Source organism: Homo sapiens, chromosome 12, assembly GCF_000001405.40.
Source record: "Homo sapiens chromosome 12, GRCh38.p14 Primary Assembly".
In the NCBI taxonomy this organism is placed as follows: Eukaryota; Metazoa; Chordata; class Mammalia; order Primates; family Hominidae; genus Homo; species Homo sapiens.
In genome coordinates this window covers 123,152,302-123,167,878 of record NC_000012.12, presented here as the reverse complement: position 1 = coordinate 123,167,878, position 15,577 = coordinate 123,152,302, and the positions used below count along the sequence as shown (strand labels likewise).

Sequence of the window (15,577 nt, the reverse complement as noted above, 5' to 3'; positions counted from 1 at the left end):
AGAACAGGCATAGGTGTGGAGAAAACAAGGCAGGCTCTAAAGTCTGGGGAATGACTGGGGGTTAACATGATGGTGGGAACCTCAGATGAGCTGGGGGAGCAATGTCTAGAATTGCGCTGTTCAGTACAGTCCTGCCAACAGCCACTATTACTATTTAAATCAATCATGTCAACCTAAAATCAGTGACAGAGACTGACTCTCCAAAGAAATTTATTTGGAAATGTTGGGGGTTTGCAAGCTGGAGTACGCATGCTGTGGTGAACCATAAGCATGTCCAAAGGGGTTGGGACACAGGAAACTTTAAAAGACAAAGGGCAGTCCACAGTCCACTAAGCTATTTTAAAACAAAGACCACTGGTTACAGGAGCATGTTGCAGGCATTAGCATTAGCTCAGTGGTGGAGACATCCCTTGTTAGGGATGTTTCCTTGTACAAGCAGCTTATTATCTGGAATACTGTCGTTCTGAGGAATTCAGAATAGTTCCCATAATCAGCATCTGTGTGAGAGGCTGCTCCTTTGTGCCTCCCAGCTCCATTTTTTGGGAGTTTGACATTAGTGACTCCATTTTGATACTGAAAACTTTCATTATTAAAATTAACGTTTTATAATTGGTTCTTCAGTCTCAGCAGCCACATTTCAGGTGTTCAGTAGTGACACCTGACTTGTGACTGCTGCATTGGACAGTGCAGATAGCATTTCTGGTTTTGCAGAAGATTCTGTTGGACAGTGCTGGTCTGAAGGGAACAAGAAGGGCAGCCCTGCTTCCTTCAGCACTTTACCCTCAGCTACAGTAGGGGCACAGAGTGTAAAGGGTGTGAAATGCCTGAGAGACAGTGAGGGGAATGTTCAGAGCCGCAAGTACCTGAATCTTGACTGAGATTCAGAAGTAACAGAAACCTAGAACAACAGTTAAGTTGAATCATAAAACTGTAAAATAAATTGTATCCAAAATATAGATTGTTACATGTGATTTTTAAATTAGTGTACAAATGTGTAAATACTGTTTGAGAGCAGATTGTTTTATATGCACATGCAGTCTGAAATGAAGTGCAGACCTTTATAATGCCTGACCGTTTTCATTCTAATAGCACACTAGCAACTTCAGACGTCAGCAGGCGGAAATGGCTGATTCCAGGTGCAGAGTATTCCATCTTTACTGGCCAGCCTCTGGACACCCAGGACAGTAACGTGGATAACCAGCTGGAGGAAACCTGTAGCCTAGGGTGAGATAACTTTGCTAAAGATTCTATTTAGGGATGTTATGTTTTCTTAGAGATTTCAATTGCTTTTAAAAGTTTGGGAAGCCCTCTCTTTGGTTCTTTAATGTCTTAATTTTGAGAACCTGACTTTTATTTTACTTTGAAAGGCTACTACTTTTAGAATATTTTACTTCCATGAGCTCTGCCAAGCTTCCCCACCTGTGCTCAGTGGCACAGTATGGGTTTGTGATTAGGATAGGATGTCGATCCTCAGGCCAGGTGTGGTGGCTCACGCCTGTAATCCCAACACTTTGGGAGGCCAACGTGGAGGATCGCTTGAGCCTAGGAGTTCGAGACCAGCTTGGGCAGCATGACAAAATCCCACCTCTACAAAAAATAAATATATTAGCCGGGCATGGTGACATGCGCCTGTAGTTTTAGCTACTTGGGAGGCTGAGGTGGGAGGATTACTTGAGCCTGGGGAGCTCAAGGCTACAGTGAGCTATGATTGTGCCACTGCACTCCAGCCTGGGTGACAGAGTGAGACCTTGTCTAAAAACAAACAAAAGATGTAGATCCTCTCCCACTTCAGATGGCTCTGGCCAGCCCGAGCCCCGAGCCTGCGTGAGCAGCCTCAGCCGCTTACTCCAGGGTGCTGTGCAGATGCTGTTCCTCTAAGTGTAGGACTAGAAGGATGGGAAAGCACTGTATGCAGGTTTAATTTATTTGCATTGCAAAGCATGCTCATTGTGGAGTATAATTGTCAACTCTGTTATTCCCCTAACAACCCCAGTAAAGTGTGTGTTTTAGCTTGGACTGTTATAACAAATTACCGTAGACTGGGTGGCATAAACAACACACATTTCTTTCTCTACCTCTGGAGGCTGGAAGTGCAAGATCAGGGTGCTGAGTGTTTGGTGAGGGCCCTCTTCCTGGTTATGTCCTCACATGGCCTTTCCTTGGTGTGTGTGCACAGAGAGAGCGCTCCTGCCTCTTTCCCTTTTTCATAAGGGCATTAATCCCATCTTGGAGGCTTCACCCTCATGACCTCATCCAACCCTAATTACCTCGTAAAGACCCCACCTCCACACACCATCACATTGAAGATTAGGGCTTCAACATGTATGTTTGGTGTGGGGGCGGGGGGCAAGATACAGACATTTAGTCCATAGCACTGTATGTCTTAAAATTATTGTTTAAGGCACCGTTCACCTCTGGAAAAGGATTCTTCACCTGGAAGTTCATCAACAAGCTTGTTGATAAAAAAGCAAAGAGAGACTTCAGACACGCCGATCATGAGAGCTTTAAAAGAACTTGATGAGGGAAAAATATTTAAAAATTGGGGGACACAGACAGAGAAAGAGGACACCTCAAATAGTGAGTATTTCCTTGTTTGAGATAGATGGATATAGATATCTTTTCCCCATTTATATTACCTTCGTTAAAATTAAAATATTTAGGTAATGAAATTAAAAGTTTTAGCTCTGTAAACTTGCTATTTTACTGCTACTTCAGCCCCGTTTCATAGAGAATTGAATGTCCTAGTTAATAATTTATCACAGTTCTGGCATAACATGTACCTTTTGTACAAAGCCAGTTGAATCTTACATTCCGATTATGAAAAAGGCTTACATGGCATTCTTTTTTTTTTTTTTTTTTTTTTGAGACAGTGAGACAGAGTCTCACTCTTTTGCCCAGGCTGGAGTGCAGTGCGTAATCTCAGCTCACTGCAAACTCCATCTCCAGGGTTCAAGCTATCATCCTGCCTCAGCCTCTCAAGTACCTAGAATTACAGGTGCCCTCCAGCACCCCCGGCTAATTTTAATATTTTTAACAGAGACGGAGTTTCACCATGTTGGCCAGGTTGGTCTCGAACTCCTGGCTTCAAGTGGTCCACCCGCCTTGTCCTCCACAACACAACACAAAGTGTAAACACAAAGTGTTGTGATTACAGGCGTGAACCACTGCTCCTGGCCTTACATGGCATTCCTAAGGATATTTGAAAAATTCCTGTCAGTCCATCTTACTTGCACACATCAGAAGGCTGTGATAGGCATTTGGTATTCATGAAGTGAGATATAACATTTCCTCTTCTTTCTTGGTTACTGAGCATCTGTAGATAAGGCAAGTAGTGTCTTTAATACTGTGTTTTTTCACAGGTCCAGGTCACCAATACATTTCTCTCCTTTTCCACTATGCTTGCTTTCTCAGACCCCTTAGTCATCCTGCCAGCGTCTTTGCGGTTACATCTCCCAAGCAGTGTCTCTTAGTAAATAAATTAGTAACCTGCTTTCTAAAAATAACCCTCTTGAAAATCACCTTGAATGCCGATTGTAAACAGGGAGCCAGAATGAATTCATTATAAACTCCCATATTTTTCTTCATCAAGCATTTTTTATCATTATAATGTGGTGCATTTGCAAATAGTCACTATAACCTAGCTGGTGAGAATAAATGCTTTGAGCAGAACCTAAGCTGTGGGGCTTGGTGTGTAACCATGTGTAACCACCTGTTAATAAAGGTGGATAACTGAAGCGTAGGCTTGTTTTGATTTGTTTTTTGTTTTGCTTTTTTTTGGTCTGCTGTAGTAAATCCTCGGCAAACTGAAACTTCAGTTAATGCAAGTCGTTCTCCAGAAAAGTGTGCCCAACAGAGACAAAAGAGACTTAATTCGGCCTCACAGAGATCATCATCTTTACCACCTTCAAATCGTAAATCAAGTACTCCAAGTAAGAGTTAGATGTGTACATCTCTTGGGTTCAAAAGCGTGATCTCTGAGTCAAATCTATTTGTGCCCGCTGCTTGCCTGTTTCTGGTTTCTCTTGTATCCTCAGCACCTAGTAGAGTACTCTGAGCAGAGGACCCCTAAATAAGATCTTGTTCATAAATAAAATTGTCTGATCACATAGATACTACAAATGTAAATGAAGAAATCTGTTTATTAAAGTGAGATTTTTTATTGTGTCCAGTAAATTGTTTACAACTAATACTAATAATTTATTGTGTCCACTAAATTGTTTGCAACTAATACTTAAAAATGCCAGCTATCCAAACATTAATTCAATCAAATTAATCCAAGCTAGTCTCAAATATACTTCTTATGTATTTGATCTCAAGTACTTAGCATTAGTCACCATTTTTCTTTAGCCAATAACAGGTTGGTTTTAAAGTTGAAGCATTGAATTCCTGTCCTGAATTTCCGTTTTCACACCAGCTGAGGAGATTCTTATTATTGTGTTATAGGAATGTTCAGTAGTGTACTGCTGTTTCCATCTTATTTCCAGTCGACTTCTAAAATCCTGAAAAACCAGTTTTGAGTCAGAGTGCTGAAAGTACTGTCTGATATACTACAGTGTTACAGTGGTTACCTCTAGGTGTTAGGATTATGAGTGATTTTATTTTTTTGTACACTCTTATTTCTCTCTCAAAGTTTTACGTTGAAATTATATTCCTTTCAAAATTAGAAAAAAAATACTGAATAAGAAACTGTTATGCTGATACATATAGAAGGAAAAGAATATTTCCTCTTCATTTTCTTCTATAGCAAAAAGAGAGATTATGCTAACACCAGTGACTGTGGCTTATAGTCCAAAGCGATCCCCTAAAGAAAACTTGTCCCCAGGATTTAGTCATCTGCTTAGCAAAAATGAGAGCAGTCCAATTCGGTAAGTTCTCTAAAATTGTAGAATAAAGTTTACTATATTAGTGATTTTTTTCTAAATGTTGACTTATGTCTCTAGCTATCACTAATTTTTCAGTTACCAGTGGGAACTCTGTGAATTTCATTTAAATCATAAGTGAATGTCATACTACAACTAAAGTACTGCAGTACAATGAACACAGTTTTTAACTATGTAAACTTGCTACTACTAGATTTTAAATTATCACCTCAGCACCCCTGTCAGCTTTTGTATGTAGAATGATAGTTCTTTGTTTTCCTGAAAAGGTTTATGATACGGGAAAACTTTTGGGCCATTTGTACAGGAAAGTGGGCTTTACTGGTATGGCCCTGGCACCAAATGCATGTTTACCTGTGCTGCTGAGAATCTGTCCCCTCCGAAGTGTGGGCAGCTGTGTGTGCTATTAGCGGGGAGGGATGTTGCTTCTTGGTTCCAGACCCAACTCTGTCAGGCTCTTGCGGAGATGAGTTAAGCACATTGAACCTCAGTTTCCTCTTCTATAAAACGGGGATAATAATAACTACCCTGCTTATTTCATAAGGTTTTTATAAATATCAAATGAGATAATGTATGGGTAAGTGTTTTAAGTCTTTAGTTTGTAAATACAATTTTGTTAGAAAATAGAAATAAATTTCAGTTTTAGACAATTACATAACCAGCTTTCTTTTAAGAAAATACATAAATATGTGAGTTAGCTGGATGCCAGCTCATCTTTGTAGTGGAGATAGGGAAAATCAGTTAACATTTTTTTTCTCACAAGTAACTTGCTTCATTCAATAGATTTGATATACTTTTGGATGATTTAGATACTGTTCCTGTGTCTACATTACAACGTACCAATCCAAGAAAGCAACTCCAGTTTCTTCCTCTAGATGACTCGGAAGGTATCTTTTCCTAAAAAATATTAGTTATGGTTTTAATCATTCATTTTTTGAGATTCTGGTATCTCTCAGTGTTCTAAATATTATAATATCTTGCACTTAAATATTTTCCCACTCAAGGGCGTCTGAAACTAAGCACTCATGATGCTACGTGTTGTTATGTCAATGTTGTTATCCTCATTGAAAAGTTGGGAAACTGAGGTACAGGGAATGTTGATGTTTAATTACCAGGGCCACACTGCTCAGTTATTCTCTTTACTTTTATTCTCTATATGCAGCTTAGGCTTTGGGTAACTTTTTTTTTCTCATTTATATTCTAAATTTGGAATAAAGCTATAAGACAATGTATGTGAAATCACTTGGGTAGGCCCTCAAAACATTAACTGTTTAGTGTTGGTGTATGTCCACTAAATGTGATGTATTATTTAGTTTTTAAGCTTTTTTTTTTTTTTTTGCTTTAAGTTTACTTAAAGTTCATTTATGTTTACATGAAGTTTGCTTAAGTTCATTAAGGGAAGTTGCAAAGATTGTCAAACAGAGGGCAAAGCTTTCAGAATTCTTTGGAGAAAAAAGCACTGAGTAAATAAGATTGATTATTGTATCTCTTTTCATTACTTTTTTGGGCCACATAGCAGCTATATCCAGAAAGTGAAATTGGGCAACATATTTAATATATATGCAACCTACACGAAAAATTGATAAGAAATATAAGCAATTTCTCTCCTCTCTGACAGAAAAAACTTATTCTGAGAAAGCCACCGATAACCATGTTAATCATAGCTCTTGCCCTGAACCGGTGCCAAATGGAGTGAAGAAAGTATCTGTGAGAACAGCCTGGGAGAAGAATAAATCAGTTAGCTACGAACAGTGTAAGCCGGTTTCAGTCACTCCACAGGGGAATGATTTTGAATATACAGCAAAAATTCGGACCCTAGCTGAAACAGAACGATTTTTTGATGAACTTACAAAAGAAAAGGACCAGGTAAAAACAAACAAATATTTTTAAAAATTGTTTTCTGAACTTAATGCTTATGTCTAAGGAGAAGGGAATTATTGAGTCAAACCTGTCTCAGGAAATTACAATGGGATAACATACCAGAGCTGTGCTAGCAACGGATTTGAGCCATGTGGTCGTTACTAATTGACAGAGGGAAATTAAGTTGAGATGAAATGGACAAGGAAATACTAAGCCAAAACCTTTTCTTTCCATTCTGTGTGATAAACCTCCCTGCCAGTAATTTAAACATATTTTTTTCGTGTGTTAACAGATTGAGGCAGCACTAAGCAGGATGCCTTCTCCTGGAGGACGAATCACTTTACAGACAAGATTAAATCAGGTGAAATGTCTTAGCTTGAATCTGCTTTAGAGGCTTGATGCCAGTCAGTGTTCCAGTTATCTAAGAGGGGTTTAAAAAATCATGGCACAGTGAAAATTAGACACACTGAAGCAGCAGTCAAAACTTTTAGCTTTTACGGGAAGTGTTTGATTATAGCAATTTTATAACTGCAAGCTAGCTTTCAGGAATAAAAATTGATTTTACCTTTAGACTTAGAGAAGAAGGTGTTCATGCCCTTGTATTTTCAAGAAACTAACTTGAGAGCAAATGGCAATATGCTTTTCAACAGATTTTACACTAAGTTAGTGCTCACAGATTGCCTCTCTTTTTGTTTGATTTCTCCCTCCTCAAATCTGTAATTTATTTCTGAACTCCTTTCCATTAGCAAGCAGATAAAATGGTTACACTTTGGAAACTGAATAGCTGTAGAGGTTCAAAAAGTGAGCCGTAGGCCGGGCGCAGGGGCTCACGCCTATAATCCCAGCACTTTGGGAGGCTGAGGCTGGTGTATCACCTGAGGTCAGGAGTTCCAGCCACTGTGCCCAGCCCCCAACTTCTTTTTTTCTGACTTTGTCTTTTTGTTCTGATAAATATTAGTCAATAATTTATAGGCTGGGCGTGGTGGCTCATGCCGGTAATCCCAGCACTTTGGGAGGCTGATGCAGGCGGGTCACCTGAGGTCAGGAGTTCGAGACCAGCCTGGCCCACATGGTGAAACCCCGTCTCTACTAAAGTACAAAAATTAGCCGGGCATGGTGTGGGGGTGGGCGCCTGTAATTCCAGCTACTCGGGAGGCTGAGGCAGGAGAATTGCTCGAACCTGGAAGGTGGAGGTTGCAGTGAGCCAAGATGGTGCCACTGCACTCCAGCCTGGGTAATAGAGCAAGACTCAGTCTTAAAAAAAAAAAAAAATAAACTTTCAATTGAACTTTTCATGTTATGAAATATCTTTCTATAACATCCTTTTAAATTAACGTACAATATTCCATCAGCAGTAACGTATTTAACCAAGAATGTTTTAGTAGAAATTTGGGTTGCTTCTAATTTTGGATATCATAAATAAGGCTGCAATAAAGTTCTTAAACATATCTCTTTGCACGTGTAAGTATTGCCTTAGGAGTCATTCCCAGAAATAAAAATGCTAGGTCCAAAGAAATGCAAATTTCTAAGGATTTGGATATATGTCAAGTTGTAACCCAGGATGTTTGAGACAATTTCTACTCCTACCTGCCGTGTATGAAGATAAGCTCTTCCCCATCCTGAAACCTGTATGTTTGGGAAAACAACAACAACAAAAAAAACAAAAAAAAACCTGCCATGGCCAGGCGCAATGGCTTATGCCTGTAATCCCAGCACTTTGGGAGGCCGAGGTGGGCGGATCACGAGGTCAGGAGTTCAAGACCAGCCTGGCCAACATGGCAAAACCCCATCTCTACTAAAAATACAAAAAATTAGCCAGGCGTGGTAGTGCACGCCTGCAGTCCTAGCTACTCGGGAGGCTGAGGCATGAGAATCGCTTGAACCTGGGTGGTGGAGGTTGCATTGAGCTGAGATCGTGCCACTGCACTCGGCCTGGGTGACAGAGCAAGACTCCGTCTCTGAAAAAGAATAATAAAAAAAAATACCTGCCAATGTGATCATTTTTTAAAAGGTGTGGGGTTGTCTTGGCTAATCTTTTATTTATCTAGTTTGGAGACGGAGTCTCGCTGTGTCACCAGGCTGGAGCGCAGTGACGCAATCTCGGCTCACTGCAGCCTCCAACTCCCTGGTTCAACTGATTCTCCTGCCTCAGCCTCCTGAGTAGCTGGGATTACAGGCACATGGGCCCGGCCTAATTCAAAGATATTTTGAGGCCGAGAACAGTGGCTCATGCCTGTAATCTCAGCACTTTGGGAGGCCAAGGTGGGCAGATCACTTGAGGTCAGGAGTTTGAGGCCGGCCTGGCCGATGTGGTGAAACCCTGTCTCTACTAAAAATACAAAAAAATTAGCCGGTTGTGGTGGTGTGCCTGCAATCTCAGCTACTTGGAGGCTGAGGCAGGAGGTTCACTTGAACCCAAGAGTTGGAGGTTGCAGTGAGCTGAGATTGCACCACTGCACTCCAGTCAGGGCAACAGAGTGAGACTGTGTCTCAAAAAAAAAAAAATTGAGATAGAGTTTGATTCTCTTCTTAGGTTTCTCTTTTAATTTTTTTGAGACAGGGTCTCATTCTGTCACTCAGGCTGGAGTGCATTGGCACAATCATAGCTCACTGTAGTCTTGACCTCTGAGGCCTCAGCCCCTTGAGTAAGCTAGGACTACAGGCATGCACCACCACACCTGGCTAATTTTTAAAATTTTTTTGTAGAGGCAGGGCCTTGCAGTGTTGCCCAGGGTGGTCTCGAACTCCTGGCCACAAGTGATTCTCCCACCTTGGTCTCCCAAAGTGCTGGGATTACAGGTGTAAGCCATCATGCTTGGCCTTATTTTTCTTTTAAAAATGATACACGGCTGGGTGCAGTGGTTCACGCCTGTAATCCCAGCACTTTGGGAGGCTGAGGTGGGCAGATCAGATCACCTGCAGTCAGGAGTTCAAGACCAGCTTGGCCAATATGGCGAAACCCTGTCTCTACTAAAAATATGAAAATGAGCCGGGCATGGTGGTGGGCACCTGTAATCCCAGCTACTTTTGAGGCTGAGGGAGGAGAATCGCTTGAACCTGGGAGGCAGAGGTTGCAGTGAGCTGAGATTGTGCCACTGCACTCCAGTCTGGGCAACAGAGCGAGACTCCGTCTCCCCCAACCAAAAAAAAAAAAATAAAATAAAAGTGGTATGCATATATATGTATGCAGAAAAAACAGGAAAGAGGAACAGTTTTTTTTTCTTTTTTGCTTATTTGTCTTCTAAATTTTCTATATTCTAAGTGTTCTATAATCCTTTTATAATTAAAGAAAAAAATTTTAAGTTTTATTTCAGGACACCATTGGAATTAATACTGAATAAATTAACTAAAATGAGGCTGGGTATAGTGGCTTATGCCTATAATCCCAGCACTTTGGGAGGCCGAGGTGGGTGGATCACTTGAGGCCAGGAGTTCGAGACCAGCCTGGGTGACATAGTGAGATCTTGTCTCTGCAAAAAAAAAAATGTTTAAAATCAGCCAGGTGTGGTGGTGCCTGCCTGTAGTTTCAGATACTCGAGAGGCTAAGGTGGAAGGATTGCTTGAGTCCAGGAGTTTGAGGCTGCAGTAAGCTATGATCATGCCATTGCAGTTCAGCTTTGGGTGACAGAGCAAGACCCTGTCTCAACAAAAACACAGAAGTATGTATAATGATATATAGTCCAGGTATTATTTAACAGTAATATTGTTTATTTTAAAATAGCAATTGTTAATTCATTGTGAAATCTATTTTTTTTTTTAAGAAAAGTATCCTTCAGTGTTTTTTTTTTTTCCTTTTTAACTTAGAAATTTTGGTGAGAAGAAAGTTATTTGATCTATGTATGTGTGGGATGCAGCACTGATCAAATGTGTCCATTTCTTCTGGTGAAATGTGTGAAGCACCTCCTAGGCTCCTCTTGTACTGTTCTCACTTCAGCAGAGCCAAAGAATTATCCTCTTCCAGTTGGTTGTATTGCTATTACTAGAATTTCCATATACTCAATGTGTCAAACATATTGAGAATATTTTAAAGTACAGCAGTTATTTGGAATAGTTGAAAAGCTAATTCATATTGTCCAGTTTAAAAGAAATCATAAGATGTTTCGTGTAGAAAGCAAAATAATTGTAATTTTAGTGTTTATACTTGCTCTTTTGCTAAAAGAAAGGTCAGTTTGGTGGTGATTATAGAACTTGGTATAGAATTCTAATTAAACTTTTCCCATTGTTTTCACCTAGGAAGCCTTGGAAGATCGTTTGGAAAGGATTAATCGAGAACTGGGTTCAGTTCGCATGACGCTAAAGAAATTCCATGTTTTGCGCACCTCTGCAAATCTTTGAGATTTGTAGCCATTAAATTTTGAGACATTTTTGTTTGCACTAATGTATAATTATGCAGTCAGAAAAGGCAAACTATTTTGTACTGTTTATAAGCCTTCAAACAGTAGTTTTACAATCATGCTATTCTTACACTTGCTATTTTATACTTCAAATGGCCACATATTTTCAAGATATTTTTGTTATGCTCAGGAATCTCTTGTATATTTTACTATTTAAAAAGCATTATTTTTAAATAGTATCTGTCTCCAATTTATATCAAGAATAAGGAAATATAAACAGAGGAAGCAGCTTGTTTCTAAACAAATAGTGTTATCCTTTTACAATTAACTGCACATCAATTTTATAGACTTGTTCTACATTGTAAATACAATTCAGTTTTTAAAAAATAAAGCTTAATAGCTTCCATAATGATAGACTAGTACATGCTGAATACATAAACAATTACAGTGTACCTTGGATTTCAGTTGTGTTGAGGTTTTTAAAAAATGATAATGCAATTCGTATTTGAAACGTGTCTTAGAGTGAATATCAGAATAGTAATAATGGACTCTTGGAAAGCTTTGAAAACTACATGAATATAACTCATTTTCTTTAAACTTTATTGTCTGTAAGAGAAAAAAGAGAGATTGTAATTCTCTAATTTTATCTTTTCTAAAAAAGTTAAACAATTGGAGAGCCCTCTCTGGAGGGCTCTCAGAGTAGCTCTCTGCCCATTGTTCTGAATTAACTTGTGTCCCACCCTGGACAATAAATGGACAGATAAACCCTTTGAAATACAAGCCACCACCCCGTGAGGGATTAAGAGGGCAGCCTGGTTTTCTTAGTGTGCATGGCTTCAGCTGTCCGTCATAGTTGTCATCTGGATATGTTCACCCCTTTCCACTCCTTCACCCTGGCCAAAAGGAAAATATTTCCACTGTAGGTGCTGTAAGAACACTAGACTTTAGATCATCACAATCTACTGTATTTGTTAATGGACAGGGAGTGTGTCCGGATGGAGCCTGGTGCCTTCCCCTCGGCCTTGCAGAGGGCTCCAGCCCACTGCCTCTGTGGTAGCCGCTGGCTCTCAGAAGTAGCACGTGGGCAGGAGTCTCTCCTCTGATCCAGGAGCATTGGCAGGTTTGTGTTGGGACTGCTGGTTAAGTTGGAGCTGTGTAACTACTTAGTTTTTGGTAGCCAATCAGAACGCAGTGCCCCACATATTCCAGCTCGGTACATGTTGATAAACAGACTCATCCAAACTTTCAAAATGGATTCGTACTAAACATGCTCAGGTTTTAAATTTTGGTTTGCTTTTGAGCTTTTCCTCTTTATGTGGCTCTTAATAATAAGTAGTTAGAATGAACCAAGCCATCCCAGTTATTCCAAGCAGGCTCTCAAATGACCTTTGAGCACCCTTCACCTGGCTGGTCCCCAGGCCAGGGGTCCACAGCCCTGCTCCCTTCTCAGCAAGGAGGGTGGCCTGTCTGACAGTGCAGTTGAACCTTTGCTCCCTACTCTGCAACTTTTGAAGACTTCAGGCTAATCAAAATTACTTATAATTAGAATCAAGTGCCTTTATTCTTGTTTTTTATTTTTATTTTATTTTATTTATTTATTTTTTTAGATGGAGTTTTGCCCTTGTTGCCCAGGCTGGAGTGCAATGGCATGATCTCAGCTCACTGCAACCTCTGCCTCCCGGGTTCAAGCGATTCTCCTGCCTCAGCCTGCTGGGTAGCTGGGATTACAGGCATCTGCCACCACGCCCGGCTAATTTTGTGTGTGTGTATATGTCTATGTGTGTGTGTGTATGTATATATCTTTTTTTTTTTTTTAGTAGAGATGGTGTTTCACCATATTGGCCAGGCTGGTCTCAAACTCCTGAACTCATGTGATCCGCCTGCCTTGGCCCCTCAAAGTGCTGGGATTACAGGCATGAGCCACCACACCCGGCCTATTCTTGGTATTCTTTATTCTTGGTTTTCTAGCCTTTAGAAAAAAAAAATCTAGTCTTGGTAAAGAAAATGTTCATTTTAATCAAGCTCCAGTACAGCTTGTGTCAAGACCTAGTAAGACCACCTTTAATGTGTTCCTGGATATGACATTAAAAACTAACTTGAAAATTGTTAGGATATTTCCTTGTTCCCTACTTTTATTGTAAAATCTACTACATTCTTAAGAATTAAAAAATGCCATTTCAGAAGAGATGATAGTTTTATCTTGCCAAGGAATTATCTTCTTAGTAGCCTATATTGGCTTATTCCAAAAAAGGCGTTAACCTCCATCAAAACATCTTCTGCGCCTCTCTCTCAGCATATGCTTTGATATTTGAAGTGTGTAATAGATTGGAGCTATCAGTCACTTATTTCTAAAAAATGTATTCTTTTTTCTTCATAGCTGTGAAGAGGGATACCAAGGAAAGTTCTTTCTGCTGTCTTTCTCTTCGGTAATGCTTATCTTATGAACACTCAACTGAAAAAACACTCCACCTAAAAGCAGGAAAGATGGCAATTCTAAATAGCAGCTATTATCCCCGGGTATAAACTATTTTTGTTGTTGGCTTGGGGCTTTGCTGCAGGTATTAATAGTTTAAAAAGAAAAAAAAAAAAAAAACCCTAAGCAAATCTGCCACCTCTGGGAAGTGCCTTTTAAAATGCAAATAGAAAGTGAACTCTCCCCTGATGCCTGGATCTGCCCCCTTCCTTTCCCTTGCTAAGCCTCTGTTTGCAGGAGCTACTCCTGAGGTATGGAAATGGTCTTTGCAACTGAAGGACTTTTCCAACTGAAGCAACAGATGTAGCTAAAGTGGCCGTGCTAGGGTTGTGCAGAGCTGGGCTCAGGGGACAAGAAAGGAGAGACTTGGAGCCAGAGAGACCTGGGTCACATCCTGGCACAGGCCTGCCTTTCTCAGCTATAAGATGAAATAAGAAAACTCCTTTCATTAAGGGAGATTTTGTAAAGTGCCTGGTGCTTAGTAAGTGCTCAAGAAATATTATATTTCAGATTCATTGAGTTAAGTAGGTTTTTGAGGTAGCATCCTTTTTTTTTTTTTTTTTTTTTTTTGAGATGGAGTCTCTAGTTCTGTTGCCCAGGCTGGAGTGCAGTGGTGTGATACTGGCTCACTGCAACCTGTCTCCTGGGTTCAAGCTATTCTCCTGCCTCAGCCTCCCGTGTAGGTGGGATTACAGGTGCATACCACGCCTGGTTAATTTTTGTATTTTCGGTAGAGACGGGGTTCTCACCATGTTGGCCATCCTGGTCTTGAACTTCTGACCCCAAATGATCTGCCTGCCTTGGCCTCCCATAGTGTTGGGATTACAGGCGTGAGCCACTGCGCCCAGCCTTGAGGTAGCATACTTTCTGAAATAAAAAAGTAGATTATGTCCGAAGCAGTTGACCTAAAAACTGCCTTGGACTGACATTTGTTAGGTGGTCTAAGATGTTCTCTTCACGCTTTGCAAAAAAATGAGCTTTTTTGGAGTTTAAATTAAGCATCCCTCTGGTGTGTTTGGTTTTTTAGCCACCAAAAATTTAACAAATTTGATAACCTGTCACGTGTAAGTTCAGAAAGCACTTTGGTCTTAATTGGTGACTTGGGGGTTATTTGGTATAAATATAGGTTGTTTTTCTAAAAATTATTGCCAGTATCCTCCAAATAATTGCCCCTTCAAATGTTTCATCTAAAGGTGACAGCTTGTGGGCAGAACCATGCACAGGAAGTGCCTGCCAGTGGGTGTTAGGAGATGTAGGTGGAGTCTGTGATAGCCAACCAAAAGCTATCCCCTTCTCGCCCAGAAAAGCCACGTGCTTTGCTGGACGCTACTTGAAATCTGAACTCTGCACCTACATATGTAGTAAAATTAGACACTTTTGTCACTTTAATTTTTAGATTATCTCAAGTTTTCACTAGATTTCAATGTGCCACTTGTGCTATGAGTCTTTAAGAAGCTTTAAAAAATAAATGCACACCTGTAGCCTTTTACCATTCAGACAGGTAGATTATATTTACCTGTCATGAGGGACCATGTATGGTTGACAGTTGCAGGTTTGATTAAATCCACTATATTGCACAAATTTTGCTGGAAATAATTTCCTGCCCTGCCAAGAGCTCTATGGTAGTTTGATAATAAACTACTACCCCAGTATTCTTAGGAACTGTGTTACTAAGTCTTTTCTGCCTGATTTGTACTTTATTTCCATAGACCCCTCAGATATGTGAGGAATCAAGCCATAAATGTGCATTTGCTGGACATTATGTACCATGTCATCTCTATGACTACAGATTTCAAGGATAATTTTTACATCTAACAATTTCACTGTAACAGTGACCGATAATGTGAGAAATGTGCTTTTTACAGTGCTGCTGGTGGGTAGACAAGTGCTTGCTGCAGTTGTTTCTGAATCTAGCCAGATGCTGGAGTCGTGAAGCTGTAAGCTCCGCGGGAGCAGGGACCATCTCTCTTTCTTGCACTACAGGCACTCAATAAATACTTGTGGCTGTGAACTGGCGTGTGGCCTTTGTGTGT

The 15,577-nt window shown here is 40.2% G+C and overlaps 1 protein-coding gene across 25 annotated transcripts in view; it reads left to right on the top strand.

Moving 5' to 3' along the window:
• Positions 1 to 15,555, top strand: part of MPHOSPH9 (M-phase phosphoprotein 9) — a 91,679-nt gene extending 76,124 nt beyond the window's left edge. For 10 of the 25 annotated variants that reach the window (XM_017018673.2, XM_047428066.1, XM_047428065.1 and 7 more), the window contains 9 exons: positions 1,090 to 1,224; positions 2,402 to 2,577; positions 3,789 to 3,929; positions 4,745 to 4,865; positions 5,661 to 5,764; positions 6,496 to 6,743; positions 7,030 to 7,098; positions 10,971 to 12,831; positions 13,449 to 15,555. In XM_017018673.2, coding sequence (XP_016874162.1) covers positions 1,090 to 1,224; positions 2,402 to 2,577; positions 3,789 to 3,929; positions 4,745 to 4,865; positions 5,661 to 5,764; positions 6,496 to 6,743; positions 7,030 to 7,098; positions 10,971 to 11,072 — 1,096 coding nt within the window. In that variant the 3' untranslated portion in view covers positions 11,073 to 12,831; positions 13,449 to 15,555. The other 15 variants (XM_047428060.1, XM_047428061.1, XM_047428056.1 and 12 more) reach the window with 10 other exon arrangements.
• Positions 15,556 to 15,577: the final 22 nt, after the last annotated feature.